Raw genomic sequence first — 16,054 nt, 5'->3', positions numbered from 1 at the left:
CCTGCCTTGGCCTCCAAAAGTGCTGGGATTACAGGGGTGAGCCACCTTGCTCAGCCCAGGCAGTGACTTTTGAGAAACTGGGCTGAGTGGTAATAAAAACAAAATTCTGTCCTTCCCCGTGCTGCCTCCTACAGGGGACTCTGAGGACTGGAGGTCTGGGGGAGGGGTCCAGCTCTGAGCTTTCTAAGCAAATACTAAGACTTCTCCTACAGGAAGCCAGTCCTGACCCATGGTCCCTGCCCCAAGGAGTTGCTAATCCAGTGGATGCCATGGATCCAAACTGCCAGAGCCTGAATCCTGCCTTGATCTGTTTCTGGCTGTGTGACCTTGGGTCTGTTACCCGACCTCTCTGTGCCTCTGTTTTTTAATCTAGAACCTGGAGGTGATAATAGTGGAGTGAATTTGCTGCTTGTGGTTGCTGTGAGGGTTAGATGAGACCCAGGGCTCAGCACAGTGCCTGGCATATAGTAAGTGCTACAGCCATTTGAAGGAGAATGTGTTTTTGACTGCCATCTTTAGGGAAGCTTCCTGGAGGAGGAGACATATAAGCAGGCCCCTGAAGGACCAGCAGGATCCCCAGAGATCCAGAGGGAGGGAAGGTACCACTTCCCTGCGGAGGGGCCAGGGCGAGTGTGGGCAGGAAAGAACGTGGCATAGTTGGGGTCACCAGGAGCCTGTGAGGCCACAGCCCCTGCTTGGAGGACGGAAGTGAGGGTGATGATCAGGGTGGGGAGTGGTCAGGGAGGGTTTGCAATGTCCAGCTGTCCTGGAGAGGGGAACGCTTGGAGGCTTGTGAGGGGAGCCCCAGGATTGCTCAGGCTGAGCTTGGCAGCAAAGAGCAGGCCCTGTTGGAGGAAGAAACCCAGGCAGAAGGCTGTCGGGAGACAAGAGCCCTGCAGGAAGGAGGCACGAGGGCTCTGGGCTCAGGCGGTGCTGGGAGGCTGGCCGGAGACTGTGGAAGGGGCAGTGCACAGGCCTCATCTGCAGGCTGGCCTCTCCAGCTGGACTCATTCAGAAAACATCCTCCACAAAGCCCCATCAGAGAGCCCTGGGACATGCTGAGGCCCCGTCCAGCCCCGACTTCCTATGGGTCTGGCCCAGTGACCTTGGGCAGGTCACTTACCCAGCCTCCATTTTTTCTTTTTTTTCTTTTCTTTTTTTTTTTTTTTTTTTGAGACAGTCTTGCTTTGTCGCCCAGGCTGGAGTGCAGTGGCGCGATCTCCGCTCACCGCAAGCTCTGCCTCCCAGGTTCACAGCATTCTCCTGCCTCAGCCTCCTGAGTAGCTGGGACTACAGGCGCCCACCACCACGCCCAGCTAATTTTTTTTTTTTTTTTTTGTATTTTTAGTAGAAATGGGGTTTCACCGTGTTAGCCAGGATGGTCTCGATCTCCTGACCTCATGATCTGCCCGTCTCAGCCTCCCAACCTGCTGGGATTACAGGCGTGAGCCACGGTGCCCGGCCCCCAGCCTCCATTTTTTCATCTGCCAAGTGGGCACAGGAATTCCTGCCCACTGTCCTTGCCCATGGGGTTGGAGAGGCGGTCTGATCTTGGGATGTAGAAGTCCCAAGAGGAGTCTCTGCTGCTTTCCACCCAAGGGCCAGGCAGGGAGGTTCAGGGCTGGGGAAGAGCCAGGCTACAGCTTTGCCTCTCTCCTCCTGGGCTGGCCCCTCAGCTTATCTGGGTCAGGGCAGAAGCTGGGGTGGGCGCGGAGGAGATACTCCTTCAGCGGCCTGATAGTGTGAGGGGATGATAAAGGGCCCAAGCCCAGCAGCCAGCTTAGGGAGAGGTGGTGCGACCAGTGAGGCTGGGCTGGAGGGTGGCATTGCTCCAGGCTGGCACTGCCCTGCCCCTCATCCAGCCCCACTGCATCCCTGAAGGGCAGTTGGGTACTGCCCAGCCTTACACCACCCCATGGGCAGGAGAAGGGAGAGGCCTCTGAAGGTTGATGGTGGCCTTTGGACACTGTTTCAGGGAACTGATGGAGGCAGAGGCCAGCCTCTCGGGTAACAGAAGGGTGACCGACTTGCCCTGGGTTGCCTGGGGCTTTCCCAGTTTCAGAGTGGAAAGCCTGTCCTGGGAAACCCTTCAGTCCTGAGCAATTCAGAATGGTTTGCTGAGGCCAGCCATTCAGTTTTTGGTTTTTTGTTTGTTTGTTTGTTTGTTTTTTGTTTTTTTCTTGAGACAGAGTCTTGCACCCAGGCTGGAGTGCAGTGGCGTGATCTCAGCTCACTGCAACCTCCACCTCCCAGGTTCAAACGATTCTCCTGCCTCAGCCTCCCCAGTAGCTGGTATTACAGGCACATGCCTCCAAGCCTGGCTAATTTTTGTATTTTTAGTACAGACAGGGTTTCACTATGTTGACCAGGCTGGTCTCGAACTCCTGACCTCAAGTGATGCACCCGCCTCGGCCTCCCAAAGTGCTCCCACAGGCGTGAGCCACCACGCCTGGCTGCCTTTGTTTCTTATCTACAACAAAGAGGTGATAGTAGAGTACATTTGCTGCTTCTGGTTGCTGTGGGGGTTAGATGAGACCCAGGGCTCAGTGCGGTGCCTAGCACATAGTAAGTTCTACAGCCATTTGAAAGATAATGTGGTTTTTTGTTTGTTTTTTAATTTTTTTTTTTTTTTTTTTTGAGATAGAGTCTTGCCCTGTCGCCCAGGGTGGAGTGCAGCGGCTCGATCTCGGTTCACTGCAACCTCCACCTCCTGGGTTCCAGCGATTCTCTTGCCTCAGCCTCCCAAGTAGCTGGGACTACAGGTGCATGCCACCACACCTGCCTACTTTTTTTTTTTTTTTTGAGACAGAGTCTCTCTCTGTTGACCAGGCTGGAGTGCAATGGCAAGGTATCGGCTCACTGCAACCTCCACCTCCCAGGTTCAAGTGATTCTCCTGCCCCAGCCTCCTGAGTAGCTGGGATTACAGGCGCCCACCACCACGTCCAGCTAATTTTTGTATTTTTAGTAGAGGCAGGGTTTCACCATGTTGGCCAGGCTGGTCTCGAACTCCTGACCTCAGGTGATCCACCCACCTCAGCCTCCCAAAGCGTTGTGATTATAGGTGTGAACCACCGCACGGCCGAGAATGTGTTCTTGACTGGCATGTTCAGGGAAGCTTCCTGGAGGAGGAGACGTATAAGCAGGCCCTTGAAGGACCAGCAGAGTCCACAGAGATCCAGAGGAAGGGAAGGTACCACTTCCCTGAAGAGGGGCCAGGGCGAGTGTGGGCAGGAAGGAACACAGCATGGCTGGGGTCACCAGGAGCTTGTGAGGCCACAGCCCTTCCTGGAGGATGGAAGTGAGGGTGATGATTGGGGTGGGGAGTGGTCAGGGAGGGTTTGCAATGTCCAGCTGCCATGGAGGGGGGAACGCTTGGAGGCTTGTGAGGGGAGCCCCAGCATCGCTCAGGCTGAGCTTGGCAGCAAAGAGCAGGCCCTGTTGGAGGGAGAAACCCAGGCAGAAGGCCGTCAGGAGACAGGAGCCTCACGTGAGGGAGGCACCGCGGCTGGGGGCTCAGTGCTTGATGACAGGTTCAGAATAGGCTGCTGGGACTGGACAGGAAAGCTGTCAGGAGGGCAGAGGGATACCTGGGGACACCTCGCCCCAGGGCATTCAGAAGGGAGTCCCTCTGCAGCCTGTTCTTCCAGCCTACGCCCCCTTGCCCCCTGCCTTGGGCTTGCTTTCCTCCAGCACTTACACTGTAAAAAATCATGGCCTTGGATCGGCGCAGTGGCTCAGGCCTGTAATCCCAGCACTTTGGGAGGCCAAGGTGGGCGGATCACAAGGTCAGGAGCTCAAGGTCAACCAACCTGGTCAACATGGCGAAACCCTGTCTCTACTAAAAATACAAAAATTGTCCAGGTGTGGTGGTGCCTGCCTGCAATCCCAGCTACTCGGGAGGCTGAGGCCGGAGAATTGCTTGAACCTGGGAGGCGGGAGGTTACAGTGAGCCAAGATCATGCCATTGCACTCCAGCCTGGGCAACGAGAGCAAGACTCCATCTCAAAAAAAAAAAAAAAAAGGTGGGGGGGCTTTCCTTACCTTGATGCTGACACAGGAGGTGAAAATCCTAAAGACCCTTGGCCCTGGCACCCCATCTAGGATGGGCACGGACGGGGAGATGAGAGCAAGATTCATGCAGGAAACAGAGCACCCCAGGGGAGAAGGCTCTGAGTTTTGTTTGGGTGATGGGCCTGAGGGGATGAGACAGGCAAGTTGCATCCAAAGCAGCTCCTAAGGTTCAGACAAAAGAATGTATAATATCTGAGAGGGAAGGTGGGCTCTGGGGAAATGTATGAATCAGATGCCAGCTGGGCGCAGTGGCTAACACCTGCAATCCCGATACTTTGGGTGGATCACTTGAGCCCGGGAGTTGGAGACCAGCCTGGGCAACATGGTGAAACCCTGTCACTACACACAAAAAAACAAAAATTAGCCAGGTGTGGTGCGTGCCTGTAGTCCTAGCTACTCAGGAGGCTGAGGAAGAAGAATGGCTTGAGCCCAGGAAGTGGAGGCTGCAATGAGCCGTGTTTGCAGCACTGCGCTTCAGCGTGGGTGACAGAGCGAGACCCTGTCTCAAGGAAAAAAAGAATTAGATGCCCCCAGAGTGGCTATTCTAGACTGGATGGGCCGTCTACCCCACCTCCCTCCCAGGAGCCCAGAGTTGGTGGTGTGGACAAAGTCTGTTAGTAAAGCTGGATGTGGTCCTGTTGTTAACATCAGGGTTGGCAAATGGGCCCAGTTAAGCTGGTCACATTCTAACTGTAGGCGCTGTTGCTTCCAGAAAGTCCTTCCTGGCCCTCTGTGGCCCACCCCCACCACGGCTCCTTCCACCTCACATCACGCCCCGTCACTTTCACCTACTTACACCTCCACTATCCCCTCCTCCCTGGAGGTGTCCCTGTCTGGTCACCTCTGAATCTCCAACACCTTCCAGGTAGTGTGCTCAGAAGATTGCACACTTCCAGGCATCTCCCACCACACATGCCTGAAGATTCATGTGTGGTGGGAGATGGGGTGCCCAGCAGTGACCACGAAGTTCCAGACAGGTGGGGGTCCTGGGGAAGGGCTGGTAACCTGGAGCTCAAGGAGGGGCCCAAAGGCCAGTCGAGGTGTTCTGAGGGGAGAGAGTGCTGCAAGGGGTCCCCAATTTCTGAGGCTGTTTGTGTCTCTAACCCAGCCTTCCCTCCCTCTTGTGCCAGACTCAGCCAAGAGAACAAACTGTGTGAGCAGATGGTGCTGCTGTCCAGGCTGAGACAGAATCCCTACAGACAGGCTGGCCAAAGGGTCCGGCCCTGGACCTCCTAGGTGTGGCTGAGGCTGGGGAGGGGAGAGGCTGAGGGCCGGGCCACCAGTCTGGGAGAGGCTGCGGGGAGAGGTGCTGAGGGCAGGGGAGCCAGGCCTGGCTGGCCTTTGAAGGGCAGGCCTTCCTGGGGAGGACACTTTAATCGCCCCCAATTAAACCATCGCCGGAAGCTTTTAACAGCCCCATAAGGCCTTTTAAGGACCGCCCTTTTGTTAGGCAGCCAAGCTGTTATGCAAAAAGAGAGCAGGCCAGAGCCTCTTACCACTTTCCCCAGGCCCTAAGACCAGCGGGCCCCAAACTCCAGTCCGAGTCCAAAGAGGCTGCTTGTTGGGGAATCAAAGGCTGGGGAAGCTGCTTTGATCTGGGGAAACCCAGCCCTTCCCAGCCTCCCCAGCTCGAGACCTCCTCCCACCCCCGCCCAAGGGCTTGAGCCCTTGAGGTCTTCACTCCCACAGTTTCCAGTGTGGAGCCTGTTGGCTGATCCCCGGGGTCCTGGGAGGCTGCCCCTGTGCCTTACTTCAAGAGGCAGGCCTGCCACAGGCTAGGAGCTTCCAGGGCTCCCACTACCCCTCAGGGCAAGGACACCTTGGCCTCACCTCTTCAACCTGCGCTAAGGTCTTCTCGGTCCCATGAGACTCCGAGTGTCAGATGGGCGTCACCTGGGACTCTGTTAGAAGCGAGGACTCTTGGGCCCCACTCCAGGCCTTCTGAACCAGAACCTGCTTTTTAACAATTTCCTCCGGGAAAGTTGAGACATTTGAGAAGTAATGCTCAAGTGTCTTCCCTCCCTGGCCCCCAAAGCAAGATAGAGTGTAGGAATGATGTTAGCCATGGTAGACTGTGGGCACTACACCCCTCTGTTTTCCAAATTTTCTTCACCATATCTGTTTTTAAAAATGACAACAAAGCCTTTTCTGTAAATAGCAGCTTCTGGAGGACCCCAAATGGAAGGCTTCCATTTGGTCCTTTGGTTGACATCAAAACCCTCCACCCTGGTGTCCACATCTGCTTCATCATTGCATACCCAGAACTGCCGGAGGGAGACAGGACAGACATTCCCATTATACAGAAGAAGAAACAAACCCAGGAAGGCTGGTGGACTGGCTTGAGTGAGGAGCAGAGTTAGAGGGAAACTCAGGAAACCCAAGCTGGTTCAGGACCTGCCTACTGTCAGGTCAAGTCAGGCTGCCACAGACAGCTGTGAAATGGGAGCACTACATAAGCGTGTCTGGCCTGGGGGTGGGCGCAAGGCGGGGCTGAACTACAGCTCCCTCCCCACTCACCAAGGGCGTCCTTGTTGGGCAGGAGGAAGGGGAGCCTTTTTCTTTCCTTCTTTTTTTTTTTTCGAGATGTAGTCTTGCTCTGTCGCCCAGGCTGGAGTGCAATGGCGCAATCTTGGCTCATTGCAACCTCTGCCTCCTGTGTTCAAGCGATTCCCCTGCCTCAGCCTCCCGAGTAACTGGAATTACAGGCACCCGCCCCCACGCCCGGCTAATTTTTTATATTTTTAGTAGAGACGGAGTTTCACCATGTTGGTCAGGCTGGTCTTGAACTCCTGACCTCAGGTGATCCACCTGCCTCAGCCTCCCAAAGTGCTGGAATTATAGGCGTGAGTCACCACGCCCGGCCACCTTTTTCTAATTTATGCAAAAGTCCCACACAGGTTTCCAGAATTCCCTATTTCCCTCCTCCTCCCCCTAAGAGTTGCAGGTCATCAGCACCTGTCACTTGCTATCCTTTCAGGCTTAGTATTTTCTTTCTGGGTCCCATGCAGTCCCCATAACAACTCTCTGACTCATTCTTCCCATGAAGCCTTCTTCCTTCTGCTGTTTTCCTGGAAGTTGTTTCTTTGAAAACTAAACAAGACCGGAAGAGCACTCCACCAGATGAGTCAGATCCTGTAGGGACCAAGGTGTCCCACCGCAGACCCTCGGACAGATAGTCTGGCTCAGCGGGGAACACCAGTAGGGGTTGGTTTAGAGGCATTTTCTGGATGTTTTCAGGTCTTGAGCCTTTAGCAAATCTTGAGTACCTGGGTGTACAAAGGGCTGAAATCCACCTTACTTTTCCTCCAGGGTCTTCCAGCAACCCCTAGATTCAGGCAGTGTGTTTAGGGCCCCTGGGGCTGTGGGAGAACCCTTTAGCGCAGGGCCCAGCAAATGCTTTCTGTAAAGGGCCAGATGTAAAAAGAATAAGGCTTTGGAGTCTTTTGTCTCTGTCACAACTACCCAACTTGGCCATACCTGACTGGGCACAACTGTGCTTCAATAACATTTTTTAACGGGCACTGACATTTTAATTTCATATGATTTTCACATGTGCCAGAGTGTTATGCTGCTTTTGATTTTCTCCCTGCAACCACGTAAAAAATCATTCTAGCTCTCAGGCTGCACAAAAGCAGACAGTGGGTAAAACCGGGCCCACAGGTCAACTGTAGCCTCAGCTACTTGGGAGCTCAAACCATAGTTTGCTGACCCATGAAACAAAGCGAAGTTTTTCAGATCGGTCATCAAGTCAGCCTTGGATTCAAGTCCTGGTTTTTTAACTAACCACTGGTGTGAGTCATGGCATGTTACTAAGCCTCTCTGAACCTCTGTTTCTTCTCTGTCACCTAGGGACGGTGGTGTCTGCTGTTCCGGGATTGAGAGAGATGAAGCACTTACTCACCTCAGTGACTGGTGTGCGCAGCCACTCCCTGTAGGTGAACCATGAACTTGTAGCAGCCCATTCGGAGGTCAGCGGGAGGGGGCGCGAGCCTAATGAGGTCAGGAGTCCTTTCCTGGAGGAAGGCGGGGGTGAGCTGGACTGATATGAGACCAGCAGTGATGGAAGGAGAGAGAAACTTTGGAGAGGTCAGGTCAAGAAAACTCAATCCTGGGGTCTGGCCATTAAAGGCTCTGAGAAGGGGCCCCCTTCAAAGTAGGGCCAAGGGGAGGTTCATCTACAGGTGCTGCCTGGGCGCCGGGGAACTGGGGTGGGGGGACGGTGGGGGAAGACACCATGGACTAGAGATATGTGAGGAGGTTGCTGGTGAATCCATGTGATTGGGAGTGGGAGTGGTGGGGTGGGGGTTCCCCTGAGTGCCAGGATCTATAGATGGAAACAGCCCCAGGGAACGTGCCTACAGGCACTAAATGCAGTTTTGACTGCAAGCACATTTCCGCAGTAATGTGAAGGGGCTGCCTATTGTTTTGCTGATGAAGTATCTGTCCTTTCCCTCCTCCTGCCCTCCATGGCACCATCATGTCATGGTACACGCCAGTCCCTTTGCTCCTCCATACTGACTGGTGCAGGGGTAGCATCTGAGCAAAGCCCAGCCAATCGGGGTCCTTCCCTAAGAGTCTTGTTCACGTGGGATCAGAGAGAGTATAAGTCCCTCTGTGTGAGCAGGAACATCAAGATGTGAACCTCAGGCCTGGCCAGCAGCTGTGTTGCCTACCACAGGGAAGTCAAAAAATTCAGGAGAGAAGGAAGTTGATCCCACCAGGAAGGGATTCAGTGAGAGTCGGGAGAGGCCTGCGTTCCTGCCCTTCCACTGTGTGTGGCTTGGCGACAGTTCTTCCTCTGATGTAGGAGCTACCCAAATTCTTTGAATAAACGCCTCATGTGATCTTGGCTCACTGCAACCTCCGCCTCCCAGGTTCAAGCAATTCTCCTGCCTCAGCTTCCCTAGTAGCTAGGATTACAGGCGTGTGCCACCACGCCTGGCTAATTTTGTATTTTTAGTAGAGATGGGGTTTCACTATGTTGGTCAGGCTAGTCTTGAACTCCTGACCTCAGATGATCCGCCTGCCTCAGCCTCCCAAAGTGCTGGGATTACAGTTGTGAGCCACCACATCCGGCAAACGCTTCTTTTTCTAAAGCAAGTCTGAGTTTCTATTACTTGCAATTAAAGAAAGTCATTGACCACATGCATCATCACAGCATTCCTCCCCAGCATTTATTGCTCATTTGCTGTGTGCCAGGCACCGGATAAGTGCCTTACATCCATTACTTAATAGACTTCTCAGTTATGCTGTGAGCTGCGGGTGCGCCTACCAACATTTTACATTTGATTAAACTGAGGCTCCGACTTCACCGGACGTTTAAGTGGGGTGGTCTTCAGGCCCTGGGCTGAGTTCTCTTTGGCTGATTATTTGAGAGCCGTGATTACTCTCTCCCAAACAATCTTCCCATTCCTGTCTTTTAATTCCACCTCTACGATTTCCAATTTTCAATCTAGAAAATTTCTTTGTTTTACTTATTTGAGACGGGGTTTCACTCTGTTGCCCAGGCTTGTGTTCAGTGGCACAATCTCCGCTTACTGCAACCTCCACCTCCCAGGCTCAGGTGATCCTCCCACCTTAGCCTCCTAAGCTCCCGAGTACCTGGGACTACAGGTGTGCACCACCATGCCTGACTAATTGTTTATATTTTTTTGTAGAGATGAGGTTTCGCCATGTTGCCTAGGCTGGTCTCAAACTACTGAGTTCAAGTGATCCGCCCTCCTCGGCATCCCGAAATGTTGGGATTACAGGTGTGAGCCACTGCACCCAGCTGATGTTTCTTTTATTTTTAATTAATTTATTTACTAATTTATTTCGAGACAGAGTTTCACTCCTGTTGCCCAGGCTGGAGTGCAATGGCGCAATCTCAGTTTACTGCAACCTCTGCCTCCCGGGTTCAAGTGATTCTCCTGCCTTAGCCTCCTGAGTAGCTAGGATTACAGGCATGCGCCACCACCCCCAGCTAATTTTGTGTTTTTAGTAGATATGGGGTTTCACCATGTTGGCCAGGTTGGTGTCGAACTCCTGACCTCAGGTGATCCGCCTCCCTCGGCCTCCCAAAGTGCTGGGATTACAGGCATGAGCCACCGCACTGGCATTTTTATTTTTTTGATACTTTTTTTTTTGAGATGGAGCCTCACTCTGTTGCCCAGGCTGGAGTGCAGTGGCCTGATCTCGGCTCACTGCAACCTCCTGGGTTCAAGTGATTCTCGTGCCTCACCTCCCAGGTAGCTGGGATTATAGGCGTGTGCCACCATGCTGACTAATTTTTGTATTTTTAGTAGAAGCAGGGTTTCACCATGTTGGCCAGGCTGCTCTCAAACTCCTGACCTCAAGTGATCCACCTGCCTCGGCCCCCTAAAGTGCTCAGATTACAGGTGTGAGCCATGGTGCCCAGCCCCTTTCTTTTAAAATCAAGACTGTAATCCCAGCACTTTTCAAGGCCAAGGTGGGAAGATTGCTTGAGGCCAGGAGTTCAAGACCAGTCTGGCCAACATGGTGAGACCCCTTCTTTTTAAAAAAAAAAAATACTGATATATCCAGTTGCTTACTTGCTAGGGATATCTCAAAAATAGATCTCAAAAACTAAATTCCTGCTCTCCCTTCTCCCAACAAATCTGCCCCTCCTCTGGGGTTTCCCATCTCAGTAACTGGCCCCACCCAGTTTCCCCAGTCAGAAACCTGAGCGGTATATTTGACATCTTCTCCTTTGACCTCCATAACTGCCCTATCACCAGGTCCTATTGTACCCACTCCCTGCGCACATCTTGGCTCTGCCCCTTCTCTCCGGCTCCACTATCCCCTCCAAGTCCAACCACTCTTCCCCTGGAAGATAGCCTCCTCCCTGGTCTCCTGAAACCCGCTCTAAGCCATTACCCCTTCAGCTACTGGAGTACAGCAAGAACTGCAGCCATGCCCCCCACCACTTAAAACCACTCACTGGTTCCAGTCAAGAGTCCTTCCCAAGACCTGTGTGTTCTCGCCAGATTCAGCCCTGTCTACTTCCCAACCTCATCTTTGGTCTATCTTTTGCTCCCTCACTGTGGCCTCCTTTCAGTACAAGGAGTACCCAGCTCTTCTGACCTCAGGGCTTTTGTACATGCTGTTTCTGCTGTTTGTCCAGTGCTCTCCCCATCTCTACTTCCCTAGCTCCTATCATTCCTAGATATCCTTCAGTTGCTGGTGTAAGCTTTAGGGATACCCTCTCTTGGGCCCGCTGGGAAATCTGATCCCATCGCACCCTTCACTCTCTGCAATACTCACTAACTATGCGTTGGGTGTGTATTGAATATTTGTCTCCGTTGCTAGATGATTCACTCTCCCAGGGCAGGGATTGGGTCTGTGTCGTTCACCATTGTACCTGCGGCACCCAGCGTAATGTCAGGCACAGAGCAGGTGCTCAGAGACATGTGCTGAATAAATGAGTGAGTGACAGAGGCTTGGGGAGGACCCATGGCTTGTGCTAGGGTCTCGCTGCCAGTGAGTGGAGGAGCCTAGATGTCACCCCAATCTCTTGGGCTCTCAAGTACACTCTGTTAGCTTCATGCAATATTGGCACCCTTGGGAGAACCAGGAAGGGAGAGGCTGAGGATCCAGACCCCAGGTGCTTAGACTCACCAGAAAGGATGCTGGAGCTAGAGTGGGGTGGGGGCAACCAAATGGAGTCAGATTAGGGGTACGGAGATTCTCAGGCACTCAGCACAAAAGCTGAGACAGGAGCTATTCAAGGCCATAGTGTGGCTTAGGGATGGAGCTGGGGTGGAGACAAGGGTGGGGGTGGGGGAGAGGGAGAGGACACCACAAATGGAACCCTGGCCTCACACCCAGGCCCCACACAAAGAGCTTGGCCTGTGCTGCCTCATCTACTACCCTGCCCACCATGCAAGGCAGGGATTAATATGTCCTGCTACAGACAAGGAAACGGAGCTTGAGAGAAAGAAAGTAGCTCGCTCAAAGTCTCCCAGCTAGTAAGTGTCAGGACCAGATTGGAATCTGGAGCCTGAGAAATCAGCTATTTGGAAAAATCAGTCCAGACAAGAAAATGGTAGGACAGAGCCCACCGTGGGTGAGAGGTGGTGACATGGCCACCCTCCCTCCATCATTTCACCCCTGCAGGCCCATCGTCTGTGGGGACATCTTTTTGAAATTCCAAAAGCTCTGGATGCAAACCCCAAAGCCTCTCTGAGTAAGTCCTCAGGTGGCCAGATCCTCCCAGGCTGGCGCCTACCTCCCTGGAGGATTTCCCCTGTACGGCTTCCATTTGAAAAGGAGCTTAGGGCCTCGGTACCGACCCCGCTGGGCCGTTCGATGCCCTGGCTCAGGGATGCAGAGTGGAGGAGCCTGGCCTGCTGGGGAGGGGGTGGGGGTGGGAGCAGGTGTGGGGTGGAGGAGGGGGCACTGGAAAATCCCTCTGAGCCTGGCCTTGGGTGTTGAGTTTATTTAATGTTACCTGTGGACCCCCCACCTTTTCCCCCATTTAACATCTCTTGTACGTAGCTTTTTAAAAAACTCACATCAGGCCGGGTGCGGTGGCTTACACCTCTAATCCCAGCACTTTGGGAGGCTGAGGCGGGTGGATCACCTGGGGTCAGGAGTTCGAGACGACCCTGGCCAACAAGGAGAAACCCTGTCTCTACTAAAAATATAAAAATTAGCTGGGCGTGGTGGTGTGTGAGGTGTGTGACTGTAGTCCCAGCTACTCAGGAGTCTGAGGCAGAAGAATCGCTTGAGCCCGGGAGGCAGAGGTTGCAGTAAGCCAAGATTGCCCCACTGCGCTCCAGCCTGGGCAACAGAACGAGACTCGGTCTCAAAAAACAAAATAAAACAAAAAAACCCCAAAAAACCTCACATCCTTTATGTAGCATTTTATAAATATGAACTCATCAATCCTCAGAACAACTTTATGATATAGATATTATTGTGCCCAAATTTTACAGGTAAAAAAGTTGAAGCAGAAGGTCAGGGACTTGCCCAAGGTCATCAGCAGTCAGTGGCCGAGGTGGAGCTTGAACCCAGGCAGCTGGCCTCTGGACGCTATGCTCCGAAATCCCTCCTCTCTTTGGAGACAGAAGCCTCTGAAAGTCTTGCTCCCCAGCCAGGCCGCTGAGGGCCTCAGAGATAACCGTTCCTTTCTTTTCACACAGGCCCAGAATTTGTTTACCTTGAGTGGGCAAGTAGCCGCCCCAAACAAAGGGGATGCGAGTGGAGATAACTCAATCGTTCAGGGCCTGGCCAGGCAGTTGGGAGGGCCAGGATTGAGCCCAGCCAGCCTGGGGGCCAGGCTTGAGAAACTGCTGGGACCTGGCTGCCGGCTGTTTGTTGCAAAACAATGAGTCAGCCCCGGAGGAAGGGGAGCAGGGGTGCTGGGGAATCGGGTGGAGAGGCCTCTCCTCCCTCAGCCCTGACTCCAGCTTTTCCCATGGTGGGTTCTGCCCACCCCCACCCTCCCAGACCTTGGTCTTCAGAAGGCTCAACCAATTTCCTTTTTTGTTGTTTGGCTGTGATAGGAAAAGTATTGAAAAATAGAAAGTGCCCTAGACAAGAAAACACTCTGAAAGCTGAAACGTGAAACCTGGCAGCCTGGGCCAACGCCCCAGCGGGAGGTGGCCAGCGAACCAGGCTTCTATCCCTGGGCTCCCTCCCAGGCAGGCACCAGCCCATGAAGGCACTGCAGCCCTGTCAGTAGAGCTGAGAACTTGGAGGTTCAGGGATGAGTGGTGACCGGTTCAAGGTCGCATGGCTGGTGCTATGGCCCGGGAGGGTGGGCAGGTCTCAGGGACCAGGTCACTAGATAGGAAGAGGCTGGAAACACAGACTTCTTTAAAAACAAAACGTTAGCCTTGCCAAGGGACCATGCACTTCTATTCCCACATGGCACCAGAGCTCCTTGCCAGAGGTACACCAGGGTATGTGACAGTTCTCCACCCTGGCCTGCCCCAGTGAGCCAAAGCCACTCCTAACAGATCCCATCTGCCCACAGTGGGTGTCACGAGCCACTCCATTCCTCCTCTGGCCCTGCCTCCTCCACCTCCGGGCCCCTTCCTCTCACTTATCTAGTAAAGATAGTGCCTTCCCGTTGTTGAGAACAGGACAGAGGGAATTTGCTCATGATCACAGAGCAAATTTATTAATTCATTCATCAAAACCATGTTGGGCTGCTACAGAGCCTGACTCCAGAGAATAGTGAGAAGGGAGGGCACGGTCTCTTGGGGAGCCAGCTGTACACACAGATAACTGCTTTATCACAGCACATCGATCAAGACTTATCTGCCATGTGTGCAGTGGGACGCTGAGGGGCCTGACCCAGCCTGAGGGACAGAGAAGTCTTTCTGGAGGAGTCAGAAAGAGCTGGGTCTTAAGAACTGAGTATGAGTGCACCAGGGCCAGGGGGTGATGATATCCACAATCTCCCAGGCCCCCTGTCTTGGCCCTATCCACTGTTGGGTCTACAGAACCACTCAGTCCATAGAACTGAGCTCCCACAATGGTCCAGTGGTCCACAATGGGGGTGGTGTGGGTGTGGACACAAGGCAAGTATCACATGGTACCTGCCCTCAAAAAGCTTCCTGGGCCATTGGAGAAGACAAAACTATCATCCTTGCAATGTTGAGGAAACCCAACAAGTGTTGGGAGCTCCTCTGTGAACAGTTGTCCCTCCCTCTGTATCCTAGGGGTATTGTGGCGGGGGGATTGGTTCCAAGACTCCCATGGATATTGAAATCCACAGAAGCTCAAGTCCGTGATATAAAATGGCATAGTATTTACAAATAACCCACACCTAACTTCTTGCATACTTTATTTTTGGCTAAGCAGGCATGAATGACTCAGGTATACTTTAAATTATCTCTAGATTACTTATAATACCTAATACAATGTAAATGCTATGTATTTTTTTTTTTTTTCCTGTAGAGATAAGGTCTTGCTTTGTGGCCCCTGGCTGGAGTGCAGTGGCTTGATCATGGCTCACTGCAGCCTCGACCTCCCAGGTTCAAATGATCCTCCTACCTCAGCCTCTGGATTAGCTGAGACTACAGGGACACACCACCACGCCCAGCTCATTAAAAAAATTTTTTGTACAGCTACGATCTCTCTATGTTGCTCAGTCTGGTCTTGAACTTCCAGGCTCAAGCAATCCTCCTGCTTCAGCCTCCCAAAGTGTTGGGATTACAGGCGTGTGCCACTAGGCCTGGGTGCTATGTAAATATTTATTATGCTGTATTTTAAAATGTTGTATCATTTTTCATTGTATTGTTATTTTTATCATGTTTTTAGTATACTTTCCATCCGTGGTTGGTTGAATCCATTGATGTGGAGCCTGAGGATAGGGAGGGCCTACTGTATCTCTATGCAGAGCTTACCTTGTTTGGCCAGGCGTGGTGGCTCATGCCCATAATCCCAGCAATTTGGGAGGCCGAGGCAGTCAGATTGCTTGAGCCCGTAAGTTCAAGACCAGCCTGGGCAACATGGCCAAAAACAGTCTCTACAAAAAATACAAAAATTAGCTGGGTGTGGTGGTGCACGCCTGTAGTCCCAGCTACTCTGGAAGCTGAGGTGGGAGAATCACCTGAGCCTGGGAGGCTACAGTGAGCTGAGATTAAGCCACTGCACTCCAGCCTGGATGACTGAGCGAGACCCTGTCTCAAAAAACAAACAAACAAAACAAAACAAAACAAAACAAAAAACCTACCTTATTTAATCCTCACAGGTGGACATTCTTCTTATTTCCATTTTATAAACAGGAAACAGAGGCTCAGAAAGAGGCTCTGGAGTGGAGCCAGAATCTTAACTCAGGAGCCTGTGTGTGGAGCCTGAGCCTTTAGCCACTCTGCTTATTCCAGTTCCAGGGGATGGAGGGATGGGAGAAGCAGCAGTAACAGCCTTAATTGCCAGGCTAAAGAGCCAGGACTTTATTCATCAGGCAATGGGGAGCCAGCAAAGGCTTCTGAGGAAGGGAATTACATAATCTGACCTGTGTTTTGGCAC

The 16,054-nt window shown here is 52.7% G+C and overlaps 15 annotated features.

Annotated features, from left to right (window-relative positions):
- Positions 1,439-2,037: a transcriptional cis regulatory region, noted in NCBI's record as "candidate enhancer chr2.1723 targeted for multiplex CRISPR interference". NCBI's record gives its function as "positively regulates ZFP36L2 gene expression in K562 cells {active_cell/tissue: K562}" and the evidence as "EXISTENCE:mutant phenotype evidence [ECO:0000015][PMID:30612741]".
- Positions 4,215-4,948: an enhancer, noted in NCBI's record as "H3K27ac-H3K4me1 hESC enhancer chr2:43414683-43415416 (GRCh37/hg19 assembly coordinates)". NCBI's record gives its function as "activates a minimal SCP1, AML or CMV promoter by ChIP-STARR-seq in primed H9 embryonic stem cells {active_cell/tissue: H9 hESC(primed)}" and the evidence as "EXISTENCE:reporter gene assay evidence [ECO:0000049][PMID:30033119]".
- Positions 4,949-5,682: an enhancer, noted in NCBI's record as "NANOG-H3K27ac-H3K4me1 hESC enhancer chr2:43413949-43414682 (GRCh37/hg19 assembly coordinates)". NCBI's record gives its function as "activates a minimal SCP1, AML or CMV promoter by ChIP-STARR-seq in naive H9 embryonic stem cells {active_cell/tissue: H9 hESC(naive)}" and the evidence as "EXISTENCE:reporter gene assay evidence [ECO:0000049][PMID:30033119]".
- Positions 5,029-5,199: a silencer, noted in NCBI's record as "fragment chr2:43414432-43414602 (GRCh37/hg19 assembly coordinates)". NCBI's record gives its function as "represses an EF-1alpha promoter that drives an FKBP-Casp9 reporter gene in an ReSE screen in K562 erythroleukemia cells {active_cell/tissue: K562}" and the evidence as "EXISTENCE:reporter gene assay evidence [ECO:0000049][PMID:32094911]".
- Positions 6,417-7,150: an enhancer, noted in NCBI's record as "H3K27ac-H3K4me1 hESC enhancer chr2:43412481-43413214 (GRCh37/hg19 assembly coordinates)". NCBI's record gives its function as "activates a minimal SCP1, AML or CMV promoter by ChIP-STARR-seq in naive and primed H9 embryonic stem cells {active_cell/tissue: H9 hESC(naive and primed)}" and the evidence as "EXISTENCE:reporter gene assay evidence [ECO:0000049][PMID:30033119]".
- Positions 7,223-8,180: an enhancer, noted in NCBI's record as "H3K27ac hESC enhancer chr2:43411451-43412408 (GRCh37/hg19 assembly coordinates)". NCBI's record gives its function as "activates a minimal SCP1, AML or CMV promoter by ChIP-STARR-seq in primed H9 embryonic stem cells {active_cell/tissue: H9 hESC(primed)}" and the evidence as "EXISTENCE:reporter gene assay evidence [ECO:0000049][PMID:30033119]".
- Positions 7,223-9,138: a biological region, named in NCBI's record as "P300/CBP strongly-dependent group 1 enhancer GRCh37_chr2:43411165-43412364".
- Positions 7,267-8,466: an enhancer, noted in NCBI's record as "P300/CBP strongly-dependent group 1 enhancer chr2:43411165-43412364 (GRCh37/hg19 assembly coordinates)". NCBI's record gives its function as "activates an origin of replication core promoter dependent on BRD2, BRD4, P300/CBP, MED14 and CDK7 cofactors, with strong dependence on P300/CBP, by STARR-seq in HCT116 cells {active_cell/tissue: HCT116}" and the evidence as "EXISTENCE:reporter gene assay evidence [ECO:0000049][PMID:35650434]".
- Positions 7,868-8,162: an enhancer, noted in NCBI's record as "tiled region #12188; K562 Activating DNase matched - State 5:Enh". NCBI's record gives its function as "activates a minimal TATA promoter and a strong SV40 promoter by Sharpr-MPRA in K562 cells {active_cell/tissue: K562}" and the evidence as "EXISTENCE:reporter gene assay evidence [ECO:0000049][PMID:27701403]".
- Positions 8,181-9,138: an enhancer, noted in NCBI's record as "H3K27ac hESC enhancer chr2:43410493-43411450 (GRCh37/hg19 assembly coordinates)". NCBI's record gives its function as "activates a minimal SCP1, AML or CMV promoter by ChIP-STARR-seq in naive H9 embryonic stem cells {active_cell/tissue: H9 hESC(naive)}" and the evidence as "EXISTENCE:reporter gene assay evidence [ECO:0000049][PMID:30033119]".
- Positions 12,031-12,556: an enhancer, noted in NCBI's record as "H3K27ac hESC enhancer chr2:43407075-43407600 (GRCh37/hg19 assembly coordinates)". NCBI's record gives its function as "activates a minimal SCP1, AML or CMV promoter by ChIP-STARR-seq in primed H9 embryonic stem cells {active_cell/tissue: H9 hESC(primed)}" and the evidence as "EXISTENCE:reporter gene assay evidence [ECO:0000049][PMID:30033119]".
- Positions 13,011-13,867: a transcriptional cis regulatory region, noted in NCBI's record as "candidate enhancer chr2.1717 targeted for multiplex CRISPR interference". NCBI's record gives its function as "positively regulates ZFP36L2 gene expression in K562 cells {active_cell/tissue: K562}" and the evidence as "EXISTENCE:mutant phenotype evidence [ECO:0000015][PMID:30612741]".
- Positions 13,011-14,132: a biological region, named in NCBI's record as "CRISPRi-validated cis-regulatory element chr2.1717". NCBI's record gives its function as "regulatory_interactions: ZFP36L2".
- Positions 13,608-14,132: an enhancer, noted in NCBI's record as "NANOG-H3K27ac-H3K4me1 hESC enhancer chr2:43405499-43406023 (GRCh37/hg19 assembly coordinates)". NCBI's record gives its function as "activates a minimal SCP1, AML or CMV promoter by ChIP-STARR-seq in naive H9 embryonic stem cells {active_cell/tissue: H9 hESC(naive)}" and the evidence as "EXISTENCE:reporter gene assay evidence [ECO:0000049][PMID:30033119]".
- Positions 14,133-14,659: an enhancer, noted in NCBI's record as "H3K27ac-H3K4me1 hESC enhancer chr2:43404972-43405498 (GRCh37/hg19 assembly coordinates)". NCBI's record gives its function as "activates a minimal SCP1, AML or CMV promoter by ChIP-STARR-seq in naive H9 embryonic stem cells {active_cell/tissue: H9 hESC(naive)}" and the evidence as "EXISTENCE:reporter gene assay evidence [ECO:0000049][PMID:30033119]".

Source organism: Homo sapiens, chromosome 2, assembly GCF_000001405.40.
Source record: "Homo sapiens chromosome 2, GRCh38.p14 Primary Assembly".
NCBI lineage: Eukaryota > Metazoa > Chordata > Mammalia > Primates > Hominidae > Homo > Homo sapiens.
This window is presented reverse-complemented; position numbering and strand designations above follow the sequence as displayed.